General features: G+C 39.9%; 1 protein-coding gene across 10 annotated transcripts in view; it reads right to left on the bottom strand.

Moving 5' to 3' along the window:
* FNDC3B (fibronectin type III domain containing 3B) overlaps positions 1-26,768 on the bottom strand; it is a 362,092-nt gene that overhangs the window by 8,243 nt on the left and 327,081 nt on the right. For all 10 annotated transcript variants that reach the window (NM_022763.4, XM_017007062.2, XM_024453717.2 and 7 more), the window contains 2 exons: positions 14,991-15,157; positions 12,334-12,461 (listed from right to left, as the gene is read on the bottom strand). In NM_022763.4, the coding sequence (NP_073600.3) occupies positions 12,334-12,461; positions 14,991-15,157 (295 nt within the window). The remainder of the gene's footprint in view (positions 1-12,333; positions 12,462-14,990; positions 15,158-26,768) is intronic.

Genomic DNA, 26,768 nt, shown 5'->3' with positions numbered 1-26,768 from the left:
TCCTACTATTATTGTATTGCAATTTATCCCTCCCTTCAGATCCTTCAATATTTTATGTATTTAGGTGTTTCAATGTTGGGTGCATATATAACTGTTATATCCTCTTGATGAATTGATGCTCTTATCATTATATAATGTCTCTTTTTACAGTTTTTGACTTAAAGTCTATTTTGTCTGATATAAGTTTAGCTATCCCTGCTTTCTTTTGGTTTCTATTTGCATGGAGTATCTTTTTCCAACTTTTCACTTTCAGTCTATGGGTGTCCTTAAAAGTGAGGTGACTCTTGTAGGCAGCATACTGTTGGGTCTTAAAAAAAAATTCATGGCTGGGCATGGTGGCTCATGCCTGTAATCTCAGCACTTTGGGAGGCTGAGATGGGTGGATCACCTGAGGTCAGGAGTTCAAGACCAGCGTGACCAACATGGTGAAACCTCATCTCTACTAAAAATACAAAAATTAGCCAGGTAGGGTGGCATATGCCTGTAATCCCAGATACAGGATACAGGCAGAAGAACTGCTTGGACATGGGAGGTGGAGGTTTTAGTGAGCCGAGATTGTGCCATTGCACTCCAGCCTGGGTGACAGAGCAATACTCTCTGTCTGAAAAAAAAAAAAGAAAAAAAAAAAGAAAAAATTCATTCAGTTACTTTGTCTTTTTATTGGCAAATTCAATCCAAATAATTCTACCCATTAATACAAATACCCTAGAAGTGAATTTCCAACAAACTCACCTTTGCCTAAAACACTTGCCACCTATTCAGTTAGCGGGAATCTACAAATGCCTCTACATGTTTCTAAAGCCCAGTGTGTAAACTTCCACCAAGAAACAGGACATTCCATTAGTGAATACAAGTGCACTGGACATGAATTTAGTGTTGGCTCCAAGTTGAAAGACAAAAAAAGGATCTTATGGTCTGGAACGGAGGCCAGGCTTCCAATGTTCACCTGGTAGTTATCCTTTTAAAGAGATTCCTCCCTCATTTTCAAACTTTACTTCAAGCATCTTATTATATTTTTGCTTAGTGACTAAACTCCAGACAACCAATTCTGTTTACTACTTATACTTTTCCAGATTTATCTTGCTTTTGTTATTCTTTTTATAAGACTTTAAGCACATTCCTCCTGGTGAGTTATCCTGTTTCTTAAAATTGTGGCATGTGTCTTAGCTGTTTGAGTTACAAATAGCTAGGCTGGAGCAACTAAGAAGAGCTGTAAGCAAACCCCTTACGGTCCTGAGAGACCATTCCTTTCTCACTGCTCACAGTTCCAATAATGAATCTAAATGAACGTTTTAAGATGAGCCCATTGTTATGGTGACTGCCGCAATCCATACACAGCCAGCTATTCAAGAGTTCAGACTACACCACAAGGAAACTGCCTCACTGTAAGTTATTTCCCAACATGTGGGAGGTCTCAGGAAAACAATAGCCATTTTTTTTTTCTTTAAAGATAGCTTTTAGTTGTGAGTGTTCTTTATTTTCTTAATTTAGATTTAATTTCTTAAGTATAGAATGCTTTTCTTGGAAACTGTTCTTGAAGAGGATGATTTCCTAAGTATAGAATGCTTTTCTTGGAAACCGTTCATGAAGGGGATGATTTGCAACTTCTGGGACTCCACCAGTTTGATAAAGCAAGTCCTTTCACATTTGCCATCTGGGCTTTGGTTTCCCTATCTTCAAAGTCACAGGTATACTATTTATTCTGACACTCTATGGTGGCGATAAGTTAATGTTGGGATGTTTATCAAGTTGGAGAAAAGCTGACATCTAAGCAAGGTTTTCTGATACACCTCTTTCACTGATTCTTTTGCAGGTGACACCTATTGAAATATTTGTTTACCCTTATCAAAGGGTCAAATAATGTAGTCATTAAGAGTTCTTTTTCTCTGTGCAATCCTGGGAGCTGGGCCTGGCTGGTGTGACTTGGCACTCGGAAGCATTAAGCAGACTTTTCTCAAGCACAGAAACTAGAATCAGGATTTCAGTCTAAGTCCTTGCTCTGCCACTTACTAGGTCTGTGATCTCAGGCAAGTAACAGCTTTGTGCCTTAGTTTTCTCATCTTTAACATGGAGCTAGATCCAGGACCTAATAGTAACACTACTCCAAAGGAGGTTGAGGATCAGTCAAGAAAATGGATGTGGAAAATGCTCTGCAAAAGGAATATGCTGGAGGGTATGTCTGCTTTATTGAATTTAATCTTCTTAATTATGCTGTCAGGTGAATATCATTACTTTCATTTTAGATATGAAGAAACTAAGGCTCAGAGAGGCTGTTAATTTCTTAAAGTCTCTTAGCAAATAAAGGGAGTGGTGGATCCCAGATGAGACTCCACTTCCAAATCAAACACCGACCCTCACCACTGAAATTGCCCCAGCTCTGCCTGTTCCATTATTGTCCTCCACTTTACTCCTCTTCTAATGACTACAGTGTGACACCGGGTCCAGGTTTCACGGCCTCTGACTATGTCTTCCCATAGCTCGCTGCTAACTCTCTGGTATTTCCATGAAAGACCTTCTAAATCATCCCACCACGGCTCCTGCTGCTCCATAAAGGAAAACACTATCTTTTATGATGTTATTGAAAGCAGTTCCCTGCTCAGTTTCTGCCAAGCAAAGACCTGGACAGTGTTTTTGTGATGTGGCCTCTTAATTTCTGCCATCGAACAATGACATCACTGTAGAAAACCACTTAATAACCTATCCCCACAAATGTTGTAAAGACTTCTGGAAAGTGAATATAAATATATATTTATATCTATTTTAATTATTTCTACAGTTTCCAGAATTTGCATGGCTACATCCCTTTTAAAAAGTGGGCTCAGCGGGAGGATCACTTGAGGTTAGGAGTTCAAGACAAACCCTGGTTAAGATTTAAAAAAAAAAAAAGTGAGCCCAAACGTATATTTAATTTCCCAGAAACCCAGTTTAGAGACTCTTGAACAAAGACTTCATATATTAATTTTAACAAAACTTCCCAACTTTAACTTTGTAGACTGGAAGATATCTGAAAATGTATTTTAAAAATAAAGGAATCCTATTTTTCTTGTACCATTAGGCAAAAAGCATTGTAAAATAATATAAATAGTTAACTGAAGGGAACTTTCTTAACGAAAGTCTAATCAAAAGTTAGTTTTTAATTTGTAAATGTTTTTCTTTTAGCTATTCTTGTTATTTTAATTGGAACAGCTTCCCTCTTTCACAAGCCTTGCCAACACAATGTTAACATTATCTTTTTTACATTTAAGATAAATATATTGAGTGAGACAGTGTTCTATTATTTCCATATCTCCACAGCAACCAGCACAATGGCTTGAACAAAGTAGATGCTCAGCGAATGTTCTCTAATTAGAACCCTCAAATACTCAAAGAGTAGATATTCTGATACCACAGTGTTTATAAAGAGAAACTAACAAGTAAATGTGAACAGTAAGCATTAAGATGCACACACAGACCACAGGGGCAAGAGACAGTTTGGTATAGGTGCAGCAAAAAATGGAGTCTATTGATAGAAAACATGTAGTTTCTAGTATATTTTATGCACGTGAATAGTTTTTCTTTTTTTTGAGACCGAGTCTCGCTCTCGCCCAGGCTGGAGTGCAGTGGCTTGATCTTGGCTCACTGCAAGCTCCGCCTCCCAGGTTCAGGCCATTCTCCTGCCTCAGCCTCCCGAGTAGCTGGGACAACAGGCGCCCGCCACTACGCCCAGCTATTTTTTTTGTATTTTTAGTAGAGACAGGGTTTCACTGTGTTAGCCAGGATGGTCTCAATCTCTTGACCTTGTGATCCACCCGCCTCAGGCTCCCAAAGTGCTGGGATTACTACAGGCGTGAGCCACCCCCCCACACGTGAACAGTTTTTCTAATATGTTTTAATCATTTTCTAATATGTTCTAATAGTTTTTCTAATACGTTCTAATAGTTTTTAAAGTGATCCAAATATTAAAACTTTGCAAATACTCTTCTAGTTGTATAAATATGTAAATGTGAGAGCACACATACTTCATAGCTTGTCTACCTTGGCTCTGACTATAATGTCCTTAAAAGTCAGCAAATTCACATAGACCAGTGTGGTGAGGCCAGTCATATCTCAGTGAAGATTTTTTTAGAGTAACAGATTAAGGATTTTCAGGTTCAAAGAAAGTAACAAAGATGAGCTTTAAAATGAAATGTAATGTCTCAATTTTTTTAACTAAATGGTTGCATGTGGAATAAGCCAATCATATTTTATACAACTAAATGAAATAAATTTTTGAGTTATTACACTTGTAAACTTATGTTATTAACTATAAACTGATGGGGTTTTAAAACTAAAATATGAGATCCAAAAGCCCAGATACGATTAAGAAGCCCAAATAATTGAAAATTAATTCAACATCTTTGTAATACCTGTCCCTTGAAGGTAACATCCTTCTGCGGAAGAGAAACATCCCCCGCCCCCTACATGAAAATAATAGTCTCATGTGATTATGGGATTACTGATTAAGTGGGATAACATGTAGCAACCTCCTAGGACGGGGCTTGGCATGCAGTAGGCATCTAAGAAATGTCAACATGATATATTATATTGCTACTTGACTGTACTTTCCCTGCCCCGCCTTGCAGAAATCATGTGTAACACTCCAGGACAAATGCTTGGTGCCAGGGACCCTTGGGGCCTACAAATACAGGACTTGCAGAAATCAACGGAAGGGGAGCCCCATGATGCTGGCTTGGTGTCCAGACATGGCCACGGACACTTACAACCCACAGTACTTAGGAACTAATGATGTCACAAAAATCACCATGTCGCCAGGCCTGCCATACAGCTGTGCCTCCCCCAGGACTGTGCAGCTCTGCGCATCAGGGCAGCAGGCCACGCTTTGTGTCCCTTTGTTTTCATTCATTTTGACAAAGGCACCCTTATGGGCTTTTCCTCTTGACTCAATCCAATTTAAACGGCATGGCTCCATTTGAGATTTTTTTTATTGAAGTAACCAATCATAATATTGTAATAAGTATAGAAACATTATTATTTTTACAAAGACTATTTCTGTTCTTGATTTGATGAATGATATATTTTAAAGTAATCTTGACATGTTTATTCCAAATGAGAGGATTTAAAGTAATACCCAGACAACTGAAAGCAAGAATCCATAACCCTTAATTCAAAATAACATGCTGCATAGTTGAAATCCTGTAAATAACAGGGAGCTTTTTGGGAAGGGTGGCGAGAACAGTGCATACTCGGCTGCTGGAGGCTTACCTTCATCTCTTTACTAATGTCACCCCTCCCAAGAACTGAAGGGGAGATATAATTGCACCATGTTATCATCTGTACACCTCCTTCTCATGATTGAATGATCTAATGCTCACAGTAACCACCTGAGTTAGGGTTACAATGAGAAAGCCAAGACTCAACTAGGTGAATTAATTCCTCCAGAATTACATGACTATGGGAGGGAGACTTGTCGCCGTGTCTCCCCTGCTATGCCTACCAGGCTCAAGGGGAAATGTGCTAACCTGCAGGCCTCCTCTATTGAGGGCATAATGTTGGGCACATAACTTTGTCCTTGAGCCAAAGATGAGAGGCAAGGGTACCGTTACTGAACTGCTTCCTGGGGGTTTTCATCCAATGGGCCTATAAACTCTTAGAGTACTGACTATGCCAGGAAGCCCTCACAATGTAAAACACCCGACAGTTTCTCAATAAACCAGGAGTCCTCTACCTGGCCTCCATGAAAGTGACTATCAGTTCATTTTACATGAATTTTAAGTAGAGGTATGGGTACATGTATGGGAATTTTTCTGATATAAGGGGTCATGACCTTCAGATACTTAAATAAACCTATAAAACTAAAAAAGCCCTAAGAATCAGTAAAATAAACGATGGTTTTTAAAGAGGTCTATCTTGATCTATTTTTATTTTGTTCTAAATTTGACCCTTTATTCATGCAGAAATAAAAAACTGTCCTATGAGACAGTCATAGCCTCATTGTTTAATTTCTGTATTAGGGAAATGAGTTGAAAGTCATTAAAAAAATATGATGAAGGGGACAGGCATGGTGGCTCACGCCTATAATCCCTGCACTTTGGGAGGGTGAGGCGGGTGGATCACTGGAGGTTAGGAGTTGGAGACCAGCCTGGCCAACATGGTGAAAACCTATCTCCACTAAAAATACAAAAATAAATTAGCCGCTGGGTGTGGTGGCTCATGCCTGTAATCCAGCATTTTGGGAGGCCGAAGCAGGTGGATCACTTGAGGTCAGCAGTTCAAGACCAGCCTGGACAACATGGTGAAATCCCGTCTCTACTAAAAATACAAAAATTAGCCTGGCATGGTGGCAGGCGCCTTTAATCCCATCTACTTGGGAAGCTGAGACAAGAGGATCACTTGAACCCGGGAGGCAGAGGTTGCAGTGAGCTGAGATCATGCTACTGTACTCCAGCCTGGGCGACAGAGCGAGACTCCATCTCAAAAAAAAGGAGGCTCCAAGACTTTAAAATAGTTTGGTCAAGAGAAGATCTTTCCTTGTGGTACTCTTTGTGATACCATGTAGAATCAATGCATGCCTTGATACTATATTCTAAAAATGATACATGATAAAAATATATTGATACAGAAATACCATGAAATTAAATGTGTAGCTTTACAGACCTCTAGACACTTCAGAGGTTTTTTTTTTTTTTTTCTTTTTTTTTTCTTTTTTTGAGACAGAGTCTCGCTCTGTCCCCTAGGCTGGAGTGCAGTGGCACGATCTCGGCTCACTGCAAGCTCTGCTTCCAGGTTCATGCCATTCTCCTGCCTCAGCCTCCCAAGTAGCTCGGACTACAGGTGCCTGCCAACATGCCTGGCTAATTTTTTGTATTTTTAGTAGAGACAGGGTTTCACTGTGTTAGCCAGGATGGTCTCGATCTCCTGACCTCGTGATCCGCCCATCTTGGCCTCCCAAAGGGCTGGGATTACAGGCGTAAGCCACCGCGCCCAGCCCAGAGGTTTTCTTTACGCAACAAATCTGAGCACCAAGAATTTCAGTAATTTTTCATAAATTTTGACTGCCAATAGGTAATAATTTCTCACAATTTGTTGATCCTTTCCTTGTCTTCAATGCTTATATTAAATACTTCTTAGAAAAGTTATTGCTGCCTGAATAGGAATATGAATTGTTTTGCTTTACTTCTTACTATGCATGAAACTGTCTATGCTATATCTTGTACAAAATAAGAAGTCACATGCATATAGACACAATTTTCATTCTTTTAAAGAATACTTTACAGTTAAGCCTATTTGAAAAGAAGTTTTAAGCTTCCTGGAAAAAAAGCTGTGCTTGGAATATTTATTAAATGGCAAAAGGCAAACCAAATGTGCATGCAATCTAATGAAGAGTAAAATTGTGAGTAATAATTTAATACTTCAAGTTAATAGATTGTTTAATAATTAAAATCAGCTGCTTGCCCCACATTGTGACACCTGAAAAACAGAAAGCGAATCACCTAGAACCAAGGCAAAGTTAGAGTTGATGCTTCAAACAAAACATCAGAAAAGGCCATGGCACTTGTCATGTGTCGCCTATAAAAATGAGCTTGGGGGAAGGGCCGGGCATGGTGGCTCACGCCTGTAATCCCAGCACTTTGGGAGGCTGAGGTGGGTGGATCACCAGGTCAGGAGATCGAGACCATCCTGGCTAAGACAGTGAAACCCCGTCTCTATTAAAAATACAAAAAATTAGCCAGGTGTGGTGGCGGGTGCCTGTAGTCCCAGCTACTCGGGAGGCTGAGGCAGGAGAATGGCGTGAACCCGGGAGGCAGACCTTGCAGTGAGCCGAGATCACGCCACTGTGCTCCAGCCTGGGCGACAGAGTGAGACTCTGTCCAAAAAAAAAAAAAAGAAAAAAGGTCTTGGGGGAAAAGGATATTATCCTATTAGGGGTGATTTTTTTCTTTCTATGCTGAAGTTTACTCTTGTCACCACTGCAGGTATAAATAACCCTGGTGCTTTGAAGCTGCGTCTTTCATGCATGCAGGAAACATTTACTGAGTGTCAAACTATATGCCAGTACTGGAAAAATAAAAATGAATAACACAAGCCCACGTATTAGTGGGTCCTGTCTGATTAGTGCTATAATTGAGGTATACACAGTGAGCCTGTAGCTCCGCTGTGGTGGATGTACAGCAGTAATTACCTCTCATTTTCTTTTGCTTTGCCTCTATGAATTCAAAGCCTGTTGCCTGTTATCCTTGAACTATAATTATTTTAACCATTGTTCTGCACACATAAATATGTTTCATTCCCTAGCTCATGTCCAGAACAATGAAGTACTAAAACATCATGTTTAAGTTAATGTTTGCTGAATAGCGAGAAGCCAGAAAAAAAAAAAAGAAACCAGTACAAATTGTCCCTGACTCAACTGTGGCTTTTCATGTACGACTACTCTCCTTAATCATTTCTTGGTAAATGCAGGAAGCAAATGGGCATGTGGAGAATGCTAAGCCTCATCTGCTGAGCCTGCCGTGCAGTACTGTGTGTTTTCACCTGTTTACAACAAGGAACACTTTGTTTATAACTGTTTATAATAAGAAAAATAGTCTGTGGCATACATATGATTATGCATTAGTATATTAGCATTTATATGGCCATGGGTCTAAATATATAACATTAAACAGACAACATTCAAAAGAGATCATCTGCCAATAAAATCTAAATTACTGAATAGATTCACCTATAGTTTGGCAATGCCTGATGTGTATAGGTATCAAGCAAATAATGCTGCTTTTTTCAACAGGAAACAGCAGTCACTGTGCTTTGGGAAGCAGAACATTTTTCCAAGAACAGGTGGAAAAGCACGGCACGTAAAATAAAAGATTTTTACAATACAATAACAAATGTGTGATCAATGTACTGCTGGGAAATGAATTATTATTAAGCGTCAAATGATATGTTGTAAAATTTCTTAACACCTCATATTTTAACCATTTTCACATTGCTATGGAACAGAATAAATTCTCTGCTCTCTATTTGAGCTAAGACCCGAAACCAATCATATCTTTCTGGTAAAATGAAACAATTACGCATGTAAGTTATTTACTCTGAAATGGAATATATCGTATAAAATGAGATTCAAAAATAAAAGGAACCATAGTGTCTTTGTTCTTATTTAAGAGGAATGATGGAAACTTTGGTGACATCATCCGCTGATGTTAATCGACACTGGTAGATGTCATATTTAGGATAAAGTTTTTTGTTTAAAACAATTAAATCTTTTATCTGATACATCATATTAACAAAGTACAGCAAAATGTCCAAAATTACCTTTTTTTAAAAACATTTTATTTGCCAATATTCTTTATTATCATATAGCAAACACCAATGAGAAATTTAACAGAAACTCTGAATCAAATGATTTTCTACTTGTGTATTTGGAACTGAACAAAGTTTTTTTTATAAATTATGCTACTGTTTCAGAGAACAGGTGGCATTTATTTTCATCTTTATGTTTGATATAAATGAACGCTCCTATTAAAAGTGCTGACGAAGAATGCACCTCAGCTTTCCTAATGGAATACATAATATTATATCCTGATTTGACAAAAACAAGTTCTAGGGACTATTATGAAAGCCTATAGAGTATCTAAATCCTTCAGAGTCATTGATCTGATTCTTCTTTGGAAGAATTAAGAATCAACAAGGGCTATGAAACATGATAAAACTAATTTCTTATCTGGCTATATTCCAAATGCATTCTCTCTTATGTGGGTTTATTATGTGATTTACAGAGCCTTGCTACTCAAATTATGGTCCATGGACCAGCAATGTCAGTGTCACCTGGGAGGGTGAATCTCCACCCAAGACCTACCAGGTCAGAATCTGCATTTTAACAGATTCCCGGGTGATTCCTTTGACATTAAAAGGTGACATGCATGACTTAGAGCTTCTGAATCACAGGCCTCCAGGGCCTATGCATCATCTCCCTTAACCTTCCATTAGTTCTACAAAAAAGGTAGACAGAATGTAGGCTTCAGTAGTTAGGTTAAGACTACTTCTCCTCGATGACATGATTGTACGTTTAGAAAACCCCATCATCTCAGTCCAAAAACTCCTTAAGTTGATAAGCAACTTCAGCAAAATCTCAGGATACCAAATCAATGTGCAAAAATCACAAGCATTCCTATACACCAATAATAGACAAACAGCCAAATCATGAGCAAACTCCCATTCACAATTGCTACAAAGAGAATAAAATACCTAGGAATACAACTTACAAGGGATGTGAAGGACCTCTTCAGGGAGAACTACAAACCACTGCTCAAGAAAATAAGAGAGGACACAAACAAATGGAAAAACATTCCATGCTCGTGGATAGGAAGAATCAATATCGTGAAAATGGCCATACTGCCCAAAGTAATTTATAGATTCAATGCTATTCCCATCAAGTTACCACTGACTTTCTTCACAGAATCAGAAAAAACCTACTTTAAGTTTCATATGGAACCAAAAAAGAGTGTGTATAGCCAAGACAATCCTAAGCAAAAAGAACAAAGCTGGAGGCATCATGCTACCTGACTTCAAACTATATTACAAGGCTACAGTAACCAAAACAGCATAGTACTGGTACCAAAACAGATATATAGACCAATGGAACATAACAGAGGGCTCAGAAATACCACCACACATCTACAACCATCTGATCTTTGACAAACCTGACAAAAACAAGAAATGGGGAAAGGATTCCCTATTTAACAAATGGTGTTGGAAAAACTGGCTAGCTATATACAGAAAACTGAAAGTGGACCCCTTCCTTACCCCTTATACAAAAATTAACTCAAGATGGATTAAAGATTTAAATGTAAGACCTAAAATCATAAAAACCGTAGAAGAAAACCTAGGCAATACCATTCGGAACATAGGCATGGGTAAAGACTTCATGACTAAAACACCAAAAGCAATGGCAACAAAAGCCAAAATTGACAAATGGGATCTAATTAAACTAAAGAGCTTCTGCACAGCAAAGAAACTATCATCAGAGTGAACAGGCAACCTTCAGAATGGGAGAAAAATTTTGCAATCTATCCATCTGACAAAGGCCTAATATCTAGCACCTACAAGGACCTTACACAAATTTACAAGAAAAAAACCACCCCATCAAAAAGTGGGTGAAGGATATGAACAGACACTTCTCAAAAGAAGATATTTATGTGGCCAACAAACATATGAAAAAAAGCTCGTCATCACTTGTCATTAGAGAAATGCAAATCAAAACTACTATGAGATACCATTTCACGCCAGTTAGAATGGCAATCATTTAAAAAGTCAGGAAACAACAGATGCTGGAGAGGATGTGGGGAAATAGGAACACTTTTACACCGTTGGTGGGAGTGTAAATTAGTTCAACCATTGTGGAAGACAGTGTGGCAATTCCTCAAGGATCTAGAACCAGAAATACCATTTGACCCAGCAATCCCATTACTGGGTATATACCCAAAGGATTATAAATCCTTCTACTATAAAGACACATGCACATGTATGTTTATTGCAGCACTATTCACAATAGCAAAGACTTGGAACCAACCCAAATGCCCATCAATGTTAGACTGGATAAAGAAAATGTGGCACATATACACCATGGAATACTGTGCAGCCATAAAAAAAGAACGAGTTCATGTCCTTTGTAGGGACATGGATGAAGTGGAAACCATCATTCTTGGCAAACTGACACAGGAACAGAAAACCAAACACCGCAGGTTCTCACTCATAAGTGGGAGTTGAACAATGAGAACATATGGGCACAGGGAGGGGAACATCACACACTGGGGCCTGTCAGGGGGTGGGGGGCAAGGGGAGGGATAGCATTAGGAGAAATACCTAATGTAGATGACAGGTTGATGGGCGCAGCAAACTACCATGGCACATGTATACCTATGTAACAAACCTGCATATTCTACACATGTATCCCAGAACTTAAAGTATAATGAAAAAAAAAAAAGATCAATACTAACAACAACAAAAAAAGAGACTACTTCCCTCTATAGTAAAATCACAGGCACTTTAGTTTTCAATTACATACTGACTTTGATGCTTGCAAACCTCACCATCAATGTCAAATACAAATAAACGATTTACAACTCTTTAAGACAAACATATGCTTGAGAACTGAAAATTGAAGATGAATACCACCATATATAAAATGAAATGTAAACTAGGTTTCACCCACTCTGAAGAATTATACAATAAGTACAAGTTAGGCAGTTTCTATCACTGATTTTAAGAAAAACATAGTTCACTGAGTCATTCATAGCAATAAGCAGAGGCATGGAGCCAGCCATACTCAGTTGCACATGTGCCATGCACACTGGTTCTTACCTGTTTGTACTCAGATTCTCTTCCAACCAATACCTGCAGAATGTAGTTAACAGGGTCACCTTTCATTGATGGTACCGTCTCCCATAAAATTTCACATGAATTTCCTTCTAACTGTGTTACTCGAGGTGCTGAAATACAAATCCACACATCCAAGCTCAAAATTCAAAGTATCATGTTAATAGTCAACACTTTAGCACTATTAGTGAGAACCCAGAGAGAGCAAGATTGTGCCTGTGTTTGCCCTGAGAGAGGAGCTGATTTGCCCAGCCTCTCATAAAACCAGCAGGGTGCCCTTTAGGCACAGAGAAGTTACTCCATGACTAAAAAGCCATTGATGAAAAATCCTTTGCCCATTATCCCATTAATAACAGCTTGATGTGGATCACATCTTTTTTTCTCCTATGGCAATTGAGTATCCTCTATGGCTTAGGCCCTGTCCTAGGTATTCTGGAAGATGCAAAAACAGGCAAGGTAAACCCTGTTTTCAAGAAACTTAAGAGTTAGTTGAAGGAAGGGGAGAGCAAGGTATGAGACGCATACAAAAAGAAACATCAGGGAATAAAAATGAGAGGTACAAACAAAACGTTGGGAATTTCCAGAGGAGGAAAAGAGCATACCTGGGTGAGGGTCTAAGGAAAGTTTGAGGAGCAGGTGACATGTGAGAACAGTCCTGGGGAATGGGCAGCATTGAAAGCCTTTAAAAATTAAATTATATTTATATATATTTTATTTTTCACCTCCTGAACTCCTCATTCTCATTTAAAGCTAAATTATATTAGTCTGCAGTAAGGCACTTAAAATATTCTAGATTTAAAAAATATTTTCATAACTTCTATCTCTACAGCTTGATTCAATAGGACATTTTCCTATTTTGTAACTAGAATGTATATCTCCTGTCTGAACCCCCTTATACTTTAATCCCTAATTACATGCAACTAATTCTTTAGAGACAGTTGTTTCTGCTTGCAATTCTGTGTGTTATTGTTTCAGAAAAATAATGCTTTCCTTAAAAAAAAAGAAGAAGAAGAAAAGGAGCCTACGCTGGAAATACTAGGCCAAAATTCCAAGCATTTTATGAAAAAACTAAATAAGGAAGCCTATCAGATTAAACTGTCCTCCAGCTATGACAATAATTTCCTGAGTCTAAGAGTGAGAGGAAGACTACCTGATCATGCATCAGAGTGGGAAAACTGACCTTCTGAAGTAGAAAGGCTGGGAGATGCAAGCACTATCAATGTGCCATTGTATTTTTTGTAAAATGAATCCCCACCAAGAATCACTTTGAGAGGCAAAGATAGTACTCCTTCATACTTTCTAGAAAGACCCCTGAAGTGGGATAACTGATCAATGTGGCCACCCTTCCTTGGTACTAATAAACCAAAGCAGCCACAGTGTGCTCAGACATCTTTTGTGTTATAACTGAAAGGCAAAGCTGCACCAAAGGGCCAGGGCATTTACTGCCAAAGTGACCTGACAAGGCCGTGCATGTGTATGCACATTCATACTCATGTCTTAGTCACATAAAGAAGGGTCTGCCAAAGAGTCTGCAGGGCAGGGAAGCAGGAGGAAGGTATTTACCCTAAACTAATCCTGAAAGGAGCTATGAGGTTCGTAGAATCCAAGCCAAATCCTGACCCAGGTCCTGGAAAGTTCCTATAATTGACTTTGTGCCCTGGTTGTAGCTGACACACCTCCTTCATGTGGGAGTAGAGAGTCAAACACATATGCAAGGATCTCTTGTGCAGGTTGTACTTACCCTGCTATCTGTCAGCCTTAGGGTTATTTTGAGCAATAGCTCGATAAGCCACTTGTGCTGTCTGTCCCCTAAAAGACAAGCTGCAGGGACCTCCACAAGAACCACAGTATTTGCAGGAGATGAGGCAGGGCCTCAGGAGTCCATGAGTGGCTGGGTGGACAGGCTGAGCATGCTATGGTTTCTATTGCTATTTCCTGCCTTGCAAGTCAGCCGCAGTCAGGCATAGCTCTGTGGCTATATAACAGGCTGAGGGCTCAGCAGACCCGGTGGAAGAAGGGTCCAGGCAGAGTGTCTTTTGTTCACTAGCTTCGAGAGATATGGGGAAGATCTGGATACATGGGGCTCTCACAACTTCTGCAGTACCTGATCCCATTAAGGGGCCAGAGTAGGAAAGTAGTCATCCTTGAAGAAACTTCAAGATAAGTACCCCAGGAGATTAGAGCAGAACGCTGCTACAGCTTTCCAAAGGCAGTGCTCCACACCAAGAGCTGTGCGCCAAAAGAGAAAGGCTGCTGAAGTTGCCTAAGTCAGTCTCTAGGCACCAAAGTCACTGAAAGATGAATGCCAACCTCTGCTTCTCTGAAAGTCTAGGAAAGGGGAGTCTGACGCCTTCCTTGGTAAACTGTCTTAAGGGTTGCAGCACCAGGAATTTAACCCTTATTTCTAACCATTATTTTTGATAAACATGCATACCTACAGAGAAAAGTCATCAGTAGGCCCTTTCCTTTCAAGGTCTCTCATTTCCCCCAGACAACCCATCATTGCTCAATCTTCTTTAGAATGTTCTTTTGATTCTATCTTGCTGACATTATATTTAACATCAGAAAAGAGCTTCTTTCTATAAGTCCCAACAGTTCCTTACTCTCACAAGAGAGCGAGAAAGAATACATAGTCTACACACCTTTGATGGTGGGGGGGACACTTTTGGTTGTGCTGAAGGTATAGGTTTCTGAGAAGGGCCCTTCTCCAGCCTCGCTTGCTGCCTGGATTCTGAAGGAGTAGCATGTGAATTCCGTCAGTCTCTGGACCTTGTAGGTGTGGCTGGGTCCTCTGTAGATTGAAATAAACCTAGAAGAAGGAGCAGAATCAATTAGCCATCTGAACGTCTACTAATGACAAGAAATTAATTATGATGCAAACTAATGGAGCAGATTAGGCCAACCTGGTAAACGCTTTCCATACATTCTGAATTAATAATCAGCCAGTTGCTACATTAGGGTTAAGCTTAATGTCTAAATGTATGTTTTGATAAAAGAAAAACATAAACTTAAGCACATATAAAGACTGGAATGAGACTCCTTTAATTAGGATCTAGATTCTAGAAACATCAGTTGCTCATGTTTTTATTTACTAATAAAAAACAGAATTTTCAAATTTTTCATAATGCTAATATCTATAATCTGGTAGTGTAAACTAATCTTCTACTATGTACTAGGCAATGAAGTTAATGTTAACAGGACACCTGAGAAATAAGGTCCTCTTTAGCCAAATTTTGCAAATAACTGCGGTTTGGCCAGAAATGCTTTTAATTTTAACTTTTATCGATCTTACCAAGAGCTTTCAAAGCCCCATTCCTCAACTGCTAAGGAGATATTTAGGATTATGGATCGTTGAGAACACATGTAAAAAGAAAAAAAAATGCTGTGTTCAGAATCATCCATCAGGTTCATCAAAATCACAGACAAACAGCACAGGTGGGCTGGACAGTTTGGACTGGCAGCTTTTGGCTCCTTCCCCCATCGGATCCAGGACTATTTTACACTTCTCTGCTAATTAAGATTTCCATGAAACGTTAAGCATAACAGGCACACAGATAAACAAACAAGGCCTTATGTTTTAGGTGTTTTCCCCCAGGGTCTTGAAAACAACGTTTTCACAATAAAAACATATTTGAGAACTACAGTATGCTGTCATCTTTTTAAAAAATATAGTTTAACTGTAAAATTTTGGAAATAACATAACTTCCCATAAGTCATCCAGGATCTTTAGTAGATTCAGTATTTGAATCCTGCTGGTCCAGTGGACACGCTGAGAACCACTACATAAGTTAATCCAACCACAACGCCTTGTTCCTAGACAGACAGGCCAATGGATTCTACATTTCCAGGGCTTCGTCACAGCATCTGAGGACAATCCACTGTCTTCAGATACTGGAAGTTGGCCACTAACAAAATCATAATCCAAAATGTCTGACTCTTGGGCCAATTTGGCCTAGGGGTAAGCAGAATTTATGTATTCATTTAGCAAACATTTCTTGAACATCTGCTGTGTGCTAGGCTCTGCGGATTTGAAAGATGAATAAGACCTAATCCCTGTGCGTTAGCTGGTCCTGAGTGTGGGCAAGGTTTTCTGAAGCAGGGCAGCAGCTTTTCCATGTGCTGGAGCACAGTCCCTCTGGATGGATGAATGGATGGAAAAATGAAGAGATACAGATCTAAAACATTTTCTTTTCTTTTTCTTTTCTTTTCTTTCTTTTTTTTTTTTTTTTAACAAAGCCTGTCAGAGTCAATGCTTACTTTAAAATATCCACGTGTGTATTCATCAGCCTCTGCAATCAAGTTCCTGAGCCCTGGTCATTTCACCTATTTAGTGTTCTGTCTGCTTTGCTGTGTAAGGAAGTGCCTTTTATTAAAGGCTGAACATTTTTAATTTCAGGGAAAGCCAGAGTCCAGGCTGAAACCCACAAATACCATGGCAACCTATTTAGCACTCTTGACACATTACTACCCTAATGAAGACATCCTTGCTAATGCCAGAGCCAAACAGCTATTTATTAACTCAGCCTAACCTAGTCTACAATCTCTAACAGGAGTAATTGCCCTTAATTATATCACAAATTGAAGTCATGGTTTAAGTAGTGAAAGTGTTACATCTTCATTACAAATTTGCCATAAAGCTCAGTTTTTAAAGGAGTTTGGAGAGGACTACTAGGAACAGTATGCTTTCCTGCCATGCCACAATCTAAGGAGAGTATTTCTTTTGGAAAATAAGTTCAATATATATTTGGACCCAGACCCAATTATAATATAAGCAATAGCACTCACAGTCACAAAGAAATTTACTGAAGCAAATTCATTACTCTAAGTTTGTAATCTAAATAGAACAGATAACATACATATCAATTTAAAAATACATCAAAATCTTCTGTTTCTAGACTATTGTGTTCCTTTAACTTCTTGTTTTGCTCTTGTACTGGAGAATTTTATTAACTGTTTAAAATTGCATTCCAATTTATGAAAAACATAGTGGAAACAGCTGATAGCAATGAGAAATTTAAAATTTTATTTATGTCTGGAGACAGTGTTAATTAGAATTACAAAAATGACCCCATTTGTGTCTAGAAAAAAAGTGGGAGTGACCTTGAAGACTCTGGAGGAGACATGACTGCAGAGGATTTCAGCTTTACAGTTCAATCACCTTATTTTCAGTGAAGGCGGAGTTAGGCAGCTCCAGGAGGCCACCTTGGAGCTGCAATTCCCCATGGAGAGGAACTTGGGAACTGGCAGCCAGGTGCTCCCAGCAGAAGGGAGCTGAGAAGAGGAGGGAAAGGGGTGGTTCTTTCTTCCTTCAGCCTTTTCTAGAATAAGCATGCGTCTAAGCAGTCCTCTAATGTAGCCCACTGTCTACTCCGGCAATAATAAATCATGATCTGCTCGTTGCTCTGATCAAAGCCATCACTGCTTTGACTGGCCTGCCTTCCCCAAAAAAGGGCATGGGAAGAAATTATGAGAGGGGCATGGAGAAGAGCTCTTTTATTTTGTTCTCAGAATGTGTATGGAAATAGCCAAAATAGATGGTAAGTAATTCCTATGTCATGTAATTAACCAGATACTGAGCCTTCAGGAGGGAAGGAGACGATGGGCATGACAGAGGCTCTTTCCTGGGTGAAACAAGTATAAGGTGGGAAGGGGAGACATAAGGAATCCTAAGAGCTTTGGGTGAAACAGCCCAAGGCAGGAAAGCATCAAGTGTCAATTGGGCCATCTAGAAACACTGATGTACCCTGTCCTTTTGGGGCCTGTGCCCTAAGATGAACACACAGGCCCAAGGTCAGAAGGGCTGAGCAATGATGCAAGATGATCATAGCTAATGCCTTCTGAAGACTTTCTCCAGTCATCTCACTCTGAAGTGTGACCAAGAGCCACAGGGAGACATTAAAGACAGAGGTAGCAAGTTGGCACATTATTAAAAAGCTGACACCTTCCTCACTTTAAAGGTTTTCCCTACCCTTTCCTCTTCTTAAGGAAATAAAAGAGGTAAGAATAGAAAGAGAACTGCAAGAATGAAACCATGACATGAAAGGGATGAGAAAGACTTGGTACCAATTTTTATACTATGAAAATCATTTATCACAGTCATTTCCAATTTCATGTCATTTTACTCTCTACAACAAAAAAATTCATTAAATACATAAGAAAATAGATTCTAGTTAAACTTCTTCTATACCCCCTAAAGATCTGGGTACTTGGTAGGCTCTCAGTAAATGCAATTTCTGAGACTGGAATTGGCTCTGTAGACTATGAAACACCAGCAAGTAGTTTAGCCTCTTCGTGCCTCAGTTTTCTCATCTGTACAATCAGTGAAATGATGGAACCAACCTCAGAGATATTGTGAGGTTTAAATGGGTTAATAAAAGAAAACTGCTGGCCGGGCACAGTGGCTCAGGCCTGTAATTCTAGCATTTTGGGAGGCCGAGGCGGGCGGATCACAAGGTCAGGATTTCGAGACCAGCCTGGCCAGCATGGTGAAACCCCATCTCTACTAAAAACACAAAAATTAGCCAGGCGTGGTGATGCGTGCCTGTAGTCCCAGCTACTCAGGAGGCTGAGGCAGGAGAATCGCTTGAATCCGGTAGGCAGAGGTTGCAGTGAGCCAAGACTGCCACTGTACTCCGGCCTGGGCAAGAGCGAGACTCTGTCTCAAAATAATAAATAAAATAAGTAAATAAATAAAATCAAAGTGCTTAGGCTAATCCTGATATATAATAACTCAATATGTGTTAGTTATAATCATCTTAATGCTGTGAAGACAGAATTTTTAGAAAGGACTCCCTGTGTGTTCTGAGAGACCACGGACATCACTGCTAACACAGATTTTTTTCTAGGTGGAAAGTCAGCCGCATGGTAAGAGGCAACCCTGCAGAGCAGGCTGCCATGTTGGCCTCAGACATGAGCTGTGGGACTACATCTGTGAGGCTGTTTACTCTCCCTCAGGCGGGTCCTGCCAGTGAAGTACAGGCAGAGACGCTTCCTTGGAACACACTGGTGAGGTCTGAATTTGACGGCTCACATAAAAGCCCCAAGCTCTGACACAGCAGGCCTCAGATAACTGTTGATTCTAAGTTTCTTTCTGGTAAACCCTAGCATGAAATGTACATGCTGACAGTAATGTCTGGTTCCCCTTGCTCCTCCAATATCAGACAATAAAGACCTACCAAAACATAATAAAAAGCACATATGCCAACACAAGAATAATATAATTCCTCTTTCATCCCAGTTCTATAATTATTTCCCATCATTCCAGGAGGCAAAATAAGAGAGAATCTTCCTTCTTCGGGGCCAGTGATTTATGGCCATTTGTATGGTGCTCTTTCTAGGAAGCTCTGTAGGTTAACACCCCTGTGGCTAGAACCACTCAGGGAGAGATTACAAATATTCATCAAATATTTGTTTTACAAAGACTAAGTTAATTTTTTTCTTGCTCCTATATCTTTTTTAAAAGACAACTTAATTTCAGAATTCATTAATAAGTAAGCCAGAGGCCTTTTGTGATGGAACTAAATATACCAAGCATCCCAAGACACAATGATTGAAGACTACACATTTTAAATGCAGATAAGGATTCCAAAGAGCAAGGCTTTGCCATGAAGAGGAGAACAGCATTTGTCGAGCTTTCCTAGTCCTCTTCCTCTTATATGTAGAATGACCAGGGTCAGTGCTTAGATTCCACCTGCTTATGCACCACAGGCCCTAGGACATCACACCACAGCCAGAAGGCAACAGAAGGGTCCTGCTGTCTTGAAGGTGCTGATCACTACTATTAATACTTCAGTGTGCATTGCTTCAACCCTGGGGAAGGGAGGAGATCCCTGGAGTAGGAAGAAAACAACTGGAAATGGGAGGACCTAAAGCAGCAGGAAATGGTGAAAAACTCTCACTAAGCCCTCAATACCTTGGTTTCTAACAGCGAGTGGGGCTCAGGAAATAGGGATGCACTCCACGAGGAGTCACACCTGCTTAACCCTGGGCTGCTCCCCTGCTCTAGGCTGCTGAGAAGGACTGGACCATCCTTCACTCCCCTCTGTAACTCTGACACTGTCGGTGGAGGAAGTGGAGCACAGGGACTTGGACCCAGGAAGACCTGTGCTCTAACCAGCTCTGCGCTTTACTGCCACATCATTCACCCCTGCTAAGTGTCAGTTCCTCCCATTTGTAAAATGGGCACAGCATCTACCTCGTAGATTGTTTTAAGAGTCAATGCAATATTTATGTTGGTAAAACCTCAGCACTGAGCCTAGGACACAGTAAGAGCCTGGCATATGGCATTATCCAATGGCCCCAAACTCTGCACCAGGAAGGCCACAGGTCACCTTTTGGGGATCTGAATTGTATCCTGAGGACCTCTGGCTCCCAGTTCCTGCTATATAGGCCTCTCCCCAGGCTACTGGGGTCATTCACAGCTTTTGACCCAGCAGGAACATGTCCATCTAAATCTGTGATGTTCTGTTACAGCCTATGCCAGACATTTAGTTCTCCCCAACATAAATCACTCATCTAATTTGGTGGCCAAGGAATACAAATAAAATGCTCACTTTGTTATTTTCATGACATGAGCACGCTTGCTGACAAAAGCAACAAGGAATAATGTATATATAGCGGTTCCTGGAACATACCATATGCTCAATAAAGTCACTGAGTCATTTTAGTATGAGTTCAGGCTGAGGCATATGTAGCTACAGGCAACCCTTATGGTACCACAGGAGCCCCAGCCCACGCTGGCAATATCTCTGAGGGGTCTTCTACTCTACCTCCATCCCCTGCTGCCTGTGCCCATGAAGCTTCAGAGGCATCAGCTCCATGACCCAGGCTCCTGTGAGGACCAAGAAGAGGACAAGCACAGTAACACCTGTGGGGCTCCACTGTGCAGGGAGTTTGGATACAACACACTGGGTGATGATATAAGCTCTGCAGTAAGCTGGCCTGGGTCTGAGTTCAGGCTCAACAGTCTGGTAATGGTGCGTTCTATAACCAGGTAAGTTGTTTCCTCCTCTGTAAAGTGGGTACGATAAGAGTAACTACCTTGTAGCATTATTGAGAGAATTAAAAGGGATGATGAAGGAAAACACTAGACAATGCCTAGCACTTATTAAATGTTCCATAAATACTACTGTTTTTAATACTATGTAAATATTATTGTTTCTAACACGAGTATTATTAACAAAGCACCAATGCTCATGAGTCTGTTTTACAAGGTTGGAAAAGCTGAAGGAGTCCTCAGAATGGCATCCCTCTCATTTTCACTCCATGAGGTTTTCTTGAGTTGGAGAGAAGAGCTGGGCATGTGACCAAGATCACCCTGTCCTGGTGAGTCCAGGCTAAGAACTGTTGCTGCAAACACCAAGATGGGGCAATGCGCCCAATCTAGGCACTGCCCATAGCGTCGGGCATTTTTACTTAGAGAGAAGAAAGATGGGGAGAAATGCTCTCCTACACTAAGAATATTTACTTGGAAAGGGGAAATAAACTGGTTAGAAGGTTGGGTGGGTCATTAAAAGTTTACAGTCTAAATGAATTCTTGATGGCTCTGCCCATAACTTGTTTGAGCTTTGACTGTAATATCTTCTTGAAACAAGACACTCGGATGGCAATAAGCACGCATGAGTTTTAATGTTGGTGATTTACCAATGATTAAAGAAACATTCTGCACAGTCAGCCCTCCATATCCCTAGGTTCCATATCTGTGGATCAACCAACTGCAGATAGAAAATAATGGGGGAAAAAAAGGATGCTTGCATCTATACTGAACATGTTCTGCTTTTTTTGTTCTTATTATTCCCTAAAGCATAACAACTATTTACGTAGCAATGGCATTATATTAGGTATCATAAGTAAACTAGAGATGATTTAAAGTATACAGGAGGATGTGCGTAGGTTATATGCAAATACTATGCCATTTTATATAAGGGACTGGAGCTTCCATGGATTTGTGGGGGTGGGCAAGGGGGGAGGGTGTTGCCCTGAAACCAATCACCCATAGATACTGAGGAAACAACTCTGTGTGATACTATAATGGTGGAAACACGTCATCATACATTTGTCCAAATCCATACAGTGAACAACACCAAGAGTAAACCCTAACGTAAATTATGGAATTTGGGTAATAATGATGTGCCAATGTCTGTTCATCAGCTGTAACAAATGTCCCACTGTGGTGGACGATGCTGATAATAGAAAAGGCTGTGCATGTGTTGGGGTAGGTGGGATAAGGGGTATCTTTGTACCTTCAGCTTAATTTTGCTGTGAACCTAAAACTGCTCTAAAAAATAAAGATATTTAAAAATGAAAAACAAAGTTCTATGTGTTTGTGAATACCCAATGACTGCTTATTTTATTCTGCTTGCCGGTCAGAGTACTCCATGGCGGGACAGAGCAAGCTTTCAAGAGCAAAAAGATACACACAGACCTTAGCCAGAATGCAGAGATTATTACCTTCACTGTAAACTTGAACAAGTCACATAACTCTCTACGGCTCAACTGCCAGACAACAGCTGTCTTGTTCACTTGGCAGGAACTTTTATGAGATTGAAGTAAATTCTATGACTTCTTATTGAATATGCACTAGAAAGGCAAACAACAGATTCTGGGCATTTTCCAGAAATTCTTGGGGAAGACTATACTTTTAATTTCAGTATTTTAGGCTTTAACATTGTGAAAGTTGATTTTTTGCACTCAAGTGCAACTGAAGGAAGAAGTTCCATCATGTTAAATCTTTAAATGTTCCTTTATTTTAAATCACTATAGGGGGAAATGTAATATACATGAAGAATTTAGCTTTAGAATGTTTCTTTAAAACAGTTTGATTTTGAAAAAAAATCCAAGAATGCTCTAACTGGCCTATAACTTAAATTTATGATGGAAAATAAGAGATAATGCTAACGTTTCTATATTTACTACCTTGTTATCTTATAATCCCTAGGCCAACTACAGGCTCACAGCAACACATTAATATTAACTCCTCAAAATGCTCTAACCTGCTGACCTAAAATAACCTGTAGTCTACTAAAGGCTGCAAATGGTACCTTTCAAAACATGTTTCACAATATCACAAATCAACAGCTCAGCAATATTCATTAAAAATGACATGTCTTTTTTTTTTTCTTAATTTCCCTGGGCTCCATGGATTGTGTGTATGTGTATGAATGAGAGAGAGAAAGAGAGAGAGAATTTCGTATGTTACTCAGGTGGCATTTGGGAACGAACGGTGCTCAAAATAGAAATGGATAGTATTCGCCCTCACTCTGCCAAGAACACAGAGTCCGACCATGTCTATGGAGAAGCAGATGGCATCATGTGGGGACACCTGAGGCAGGGAAGGTGCAATACCTAAACTGATTTTGATGTTGGCAAGAGTCCCCGTTTACCGACTAAGCATGAACGTGCCAACAGCTATTGAGAAAAGAGGTTAATTTCCTAACCCTCTGTCCCTGGCTGTATATGGACCTTTTTTGGCTTGTGAGTGATCAGGTTGTAATACTGTTTCATTAATGGGTGGAATTTTTTTATGCTCCTTTTCTAAGAGATAAAATTTCACTATACCTATTGATGGTGGAAATTCTTTACAAAGAATAAAGGAATAAAACAAAAAAAAACTTTTTTTTCGGTATACTTTAGACATTAATGTATTAAAATGGAGATTTATTTATATTTAAAAAAAGGATGACTAGAATTTCTAAAGACCACCTGAAAAGCTTGCAATCTCCCACTCTCCTACTTTGCTTTCAAGTATATGCAGTGAAATCTTCAAGGATACTCTTCCCAGAGTTTTCCAAATTTCTATTTGCCTACTAATGTTTTAGTGGCCTTGTTTCAACCTGAAAAAAATGCTATCTAATTCCATTCTGTTATTTTTGTTTTTAGTAAATGAGAGGTAAAACTGTAATCTGCCTTCTATTTCTGGTCCAATTAAGATCTCAAATAGTTCATTTGCCACCTCTCACCTCTGTCTGTGCCTGGATATTTTAGCCTAAGATTGACTAAGCTACTCGGTTTCAAAGGCTAAATTGTTATGCTCCTTTTCTAAGAAACAAAAATGTTACTTTCTTTTTTTTGAGATGGAGTCTTGCTCTGTCGCCCAGGCTGGAGTACAGTGGCGTGATCTTGGCTCACTGCAACCTCTGCCTCCCAGTTTCAAGCAATTTTCCTGCCTCAGGCTCCTGAGTAGCTGGGACTATAGGCATCTGCCACCATGCCAGGCTAATTTTTGTATTTTTAGTAGAGACGGGTTTTCGCCATGTTGGCCAGGCTGGTCTTGAACTCCTAACCTCAGGTGACGCATCTGCCTCGGCCTTCCAAAGTGTTGGGATTACAGGCATGAGTCACCGCATCTGGCCAAGAATGTTTCTAAAATCTTTTTTTCCCCAACAATTAAGGACTGAAGACAGCTATCATTATTTGCATTTTGTAGTAGGGGAAATTAAGGCAAAAAGAAGTGAAGGGATATGCCTCTAGTCACCTAGAAACCCAGCAACAGTTCTGAGATTTCAACAGAGATTTGATACCCATGTCGAGAATCATGATAGCCTGCTGGTGGATGTCATATGAAAATGTCATTTATCAAACAATGATGATTATATGGATCGGGGACTAGTCAGAGAAGCACTGGAAACAAATCCTGAGGGTTTCTTAAGGGCCTGGCCCTGAGCTGGCTGCCTCACATCTGTTTCATTTAATTTGGCAACATGGTCTGATAAATGTAAGCAGGAGTTTGTTCTATAATAGGCATACGCTGAGAAAGCTCACACCTCCTCAGTGCCCATATATTCCAGACTTTTTTTTTTTTTTTTTTTTAAGAGTCTGGGTCTCACTCTGTTGCCCAAGCTGTAGTGTAGTGGTGCGATCACAGCTCACTGCAACCTCAAACTCCTAGGTTCAAGGGATCCTCCCACTTCAGCCTCCGGAGTAGCTGGGACCTAGTGTGTGCCTCCATGCCTGGCTAAGTTTTTAAAAATTGTTTTAGAGAAAGGGTCTCACTATGCTGCTCAGGTTCCCGACCATTTTTATTAGTTGCCTAGTGTGTATTCTTTCAGGGTTTCTATATGCAGATTCTTTCTGTCCCTCTCTAATAGCCAACAGGCAGGCTCCCTGTAAACATGACAAAGCCACTCCAATTTTGCTGGCCAAAAGGAAAAGTGTCCCGGGCACAAGGGCTGAGTTAATGGAGAGCAAGTGGTAATTATCTGCTCTATTAGATCCCTCTTCCTCCAGCCCAATTTCATGGGAGGCTTGGTTTATAAAACACTGGCTGTCTGACTAAACCTCAACAACAGATTAACCATAAATGCATTCCTGGAATTTACGTTCTTCCCGCCTCAGTGTTGTGTAAAATTATCAGGGAACACAGACCCACAGGGGTCAGGACAGGAAGCAGCATCAACTCCGATTCTGTTAGGGCAGCATAACATTTCATTTAACACAGATAAACGCATCTTCAAAGTCATCGGCACAGTGCTACAATCTTAAAATGCACAAGCTGATCCTGTTATTCTAGTGCCTGTATGAGGTTAATGCAGCTTTATGGAAATGTTTACTTTGGAGATATATTTTTCTTGTATAACACGGGAACCAAAGACATTCATATCTTCTGTGCTGGATCTGTTAAGAATAATAGACTTAATCACTCTAAGGCCAAACTAATTTAATTTTTGTTTTGCTGTCTGCTGTCTGTTTTACTGTCTGCTTATTGTTTGATGTTAATTTATCTCCCTTAGCAAGATAAGCTCTCATAGATAGTCCACATACCTCATAAGGCCCAGCACATAGTAGTAATTCAAGAAAAAAAAAAAATCGATGATTGAATGATCATAATCTTATCATTGAAATGAACTTAGTTCTATAAATATGAAGCACTACTTTAAGGCTTGCTTCCTGCCTTATATATGTGGCTTCCACTTATAAATGTGGATGGGGAATCTTCAGTATCATAAGCCAGAATAAATGGGAAACAAATGTCCTATCCCAGGGGGGTAGAATCCTTTCAACATAGCAAGTCCAGGTGATCTAGATGAATTCTAGGTTGATTTGCCTTGAGCCAAGGGTTTGGGCAAGATGCTCTTTGGGATCCCTTTTATTTACATGAAACATGCCCAAACTTAAGGGGAAAGAAAGCACCAGGTCTGAAAATAACAAAATAGAGACAGTTACTTGGAGAAAGACTCAGGGCACCTTTCTATACTTTGGAGGTTTTGCCTGTAATTTCCATCCTATCTCAAGTCTTCATCACTAGTCTCCATCCCAATGCTCCCCAGGCATGAGGTTACAAGACTGGCATCCTTTAAGACTCACTCAACCTGTCATCTTTTCTAAGAAGTGTTCATTTGATTTTAAGCCTACCTTAGATGCCATTCTTCAATTTTCCCTCTATACCTTGTGCATGTGTCAATCTTTAGGCCTTCCACATCATA

Source organism: Homo sapiens, chromosome 3 (assembly GCF_000001405.40).
Source record: "Homo sapiens chromosome 3, GRCh38.p14 Primary Assembly".
NCBI lineage: Eukaryota > Metazoa > Chordata > Mammalia > Primates > Hominidae > Homo > Homo sapiens.
This window is presented reverse-complemented; position numbering and strand designations above follow the sequence as displayed.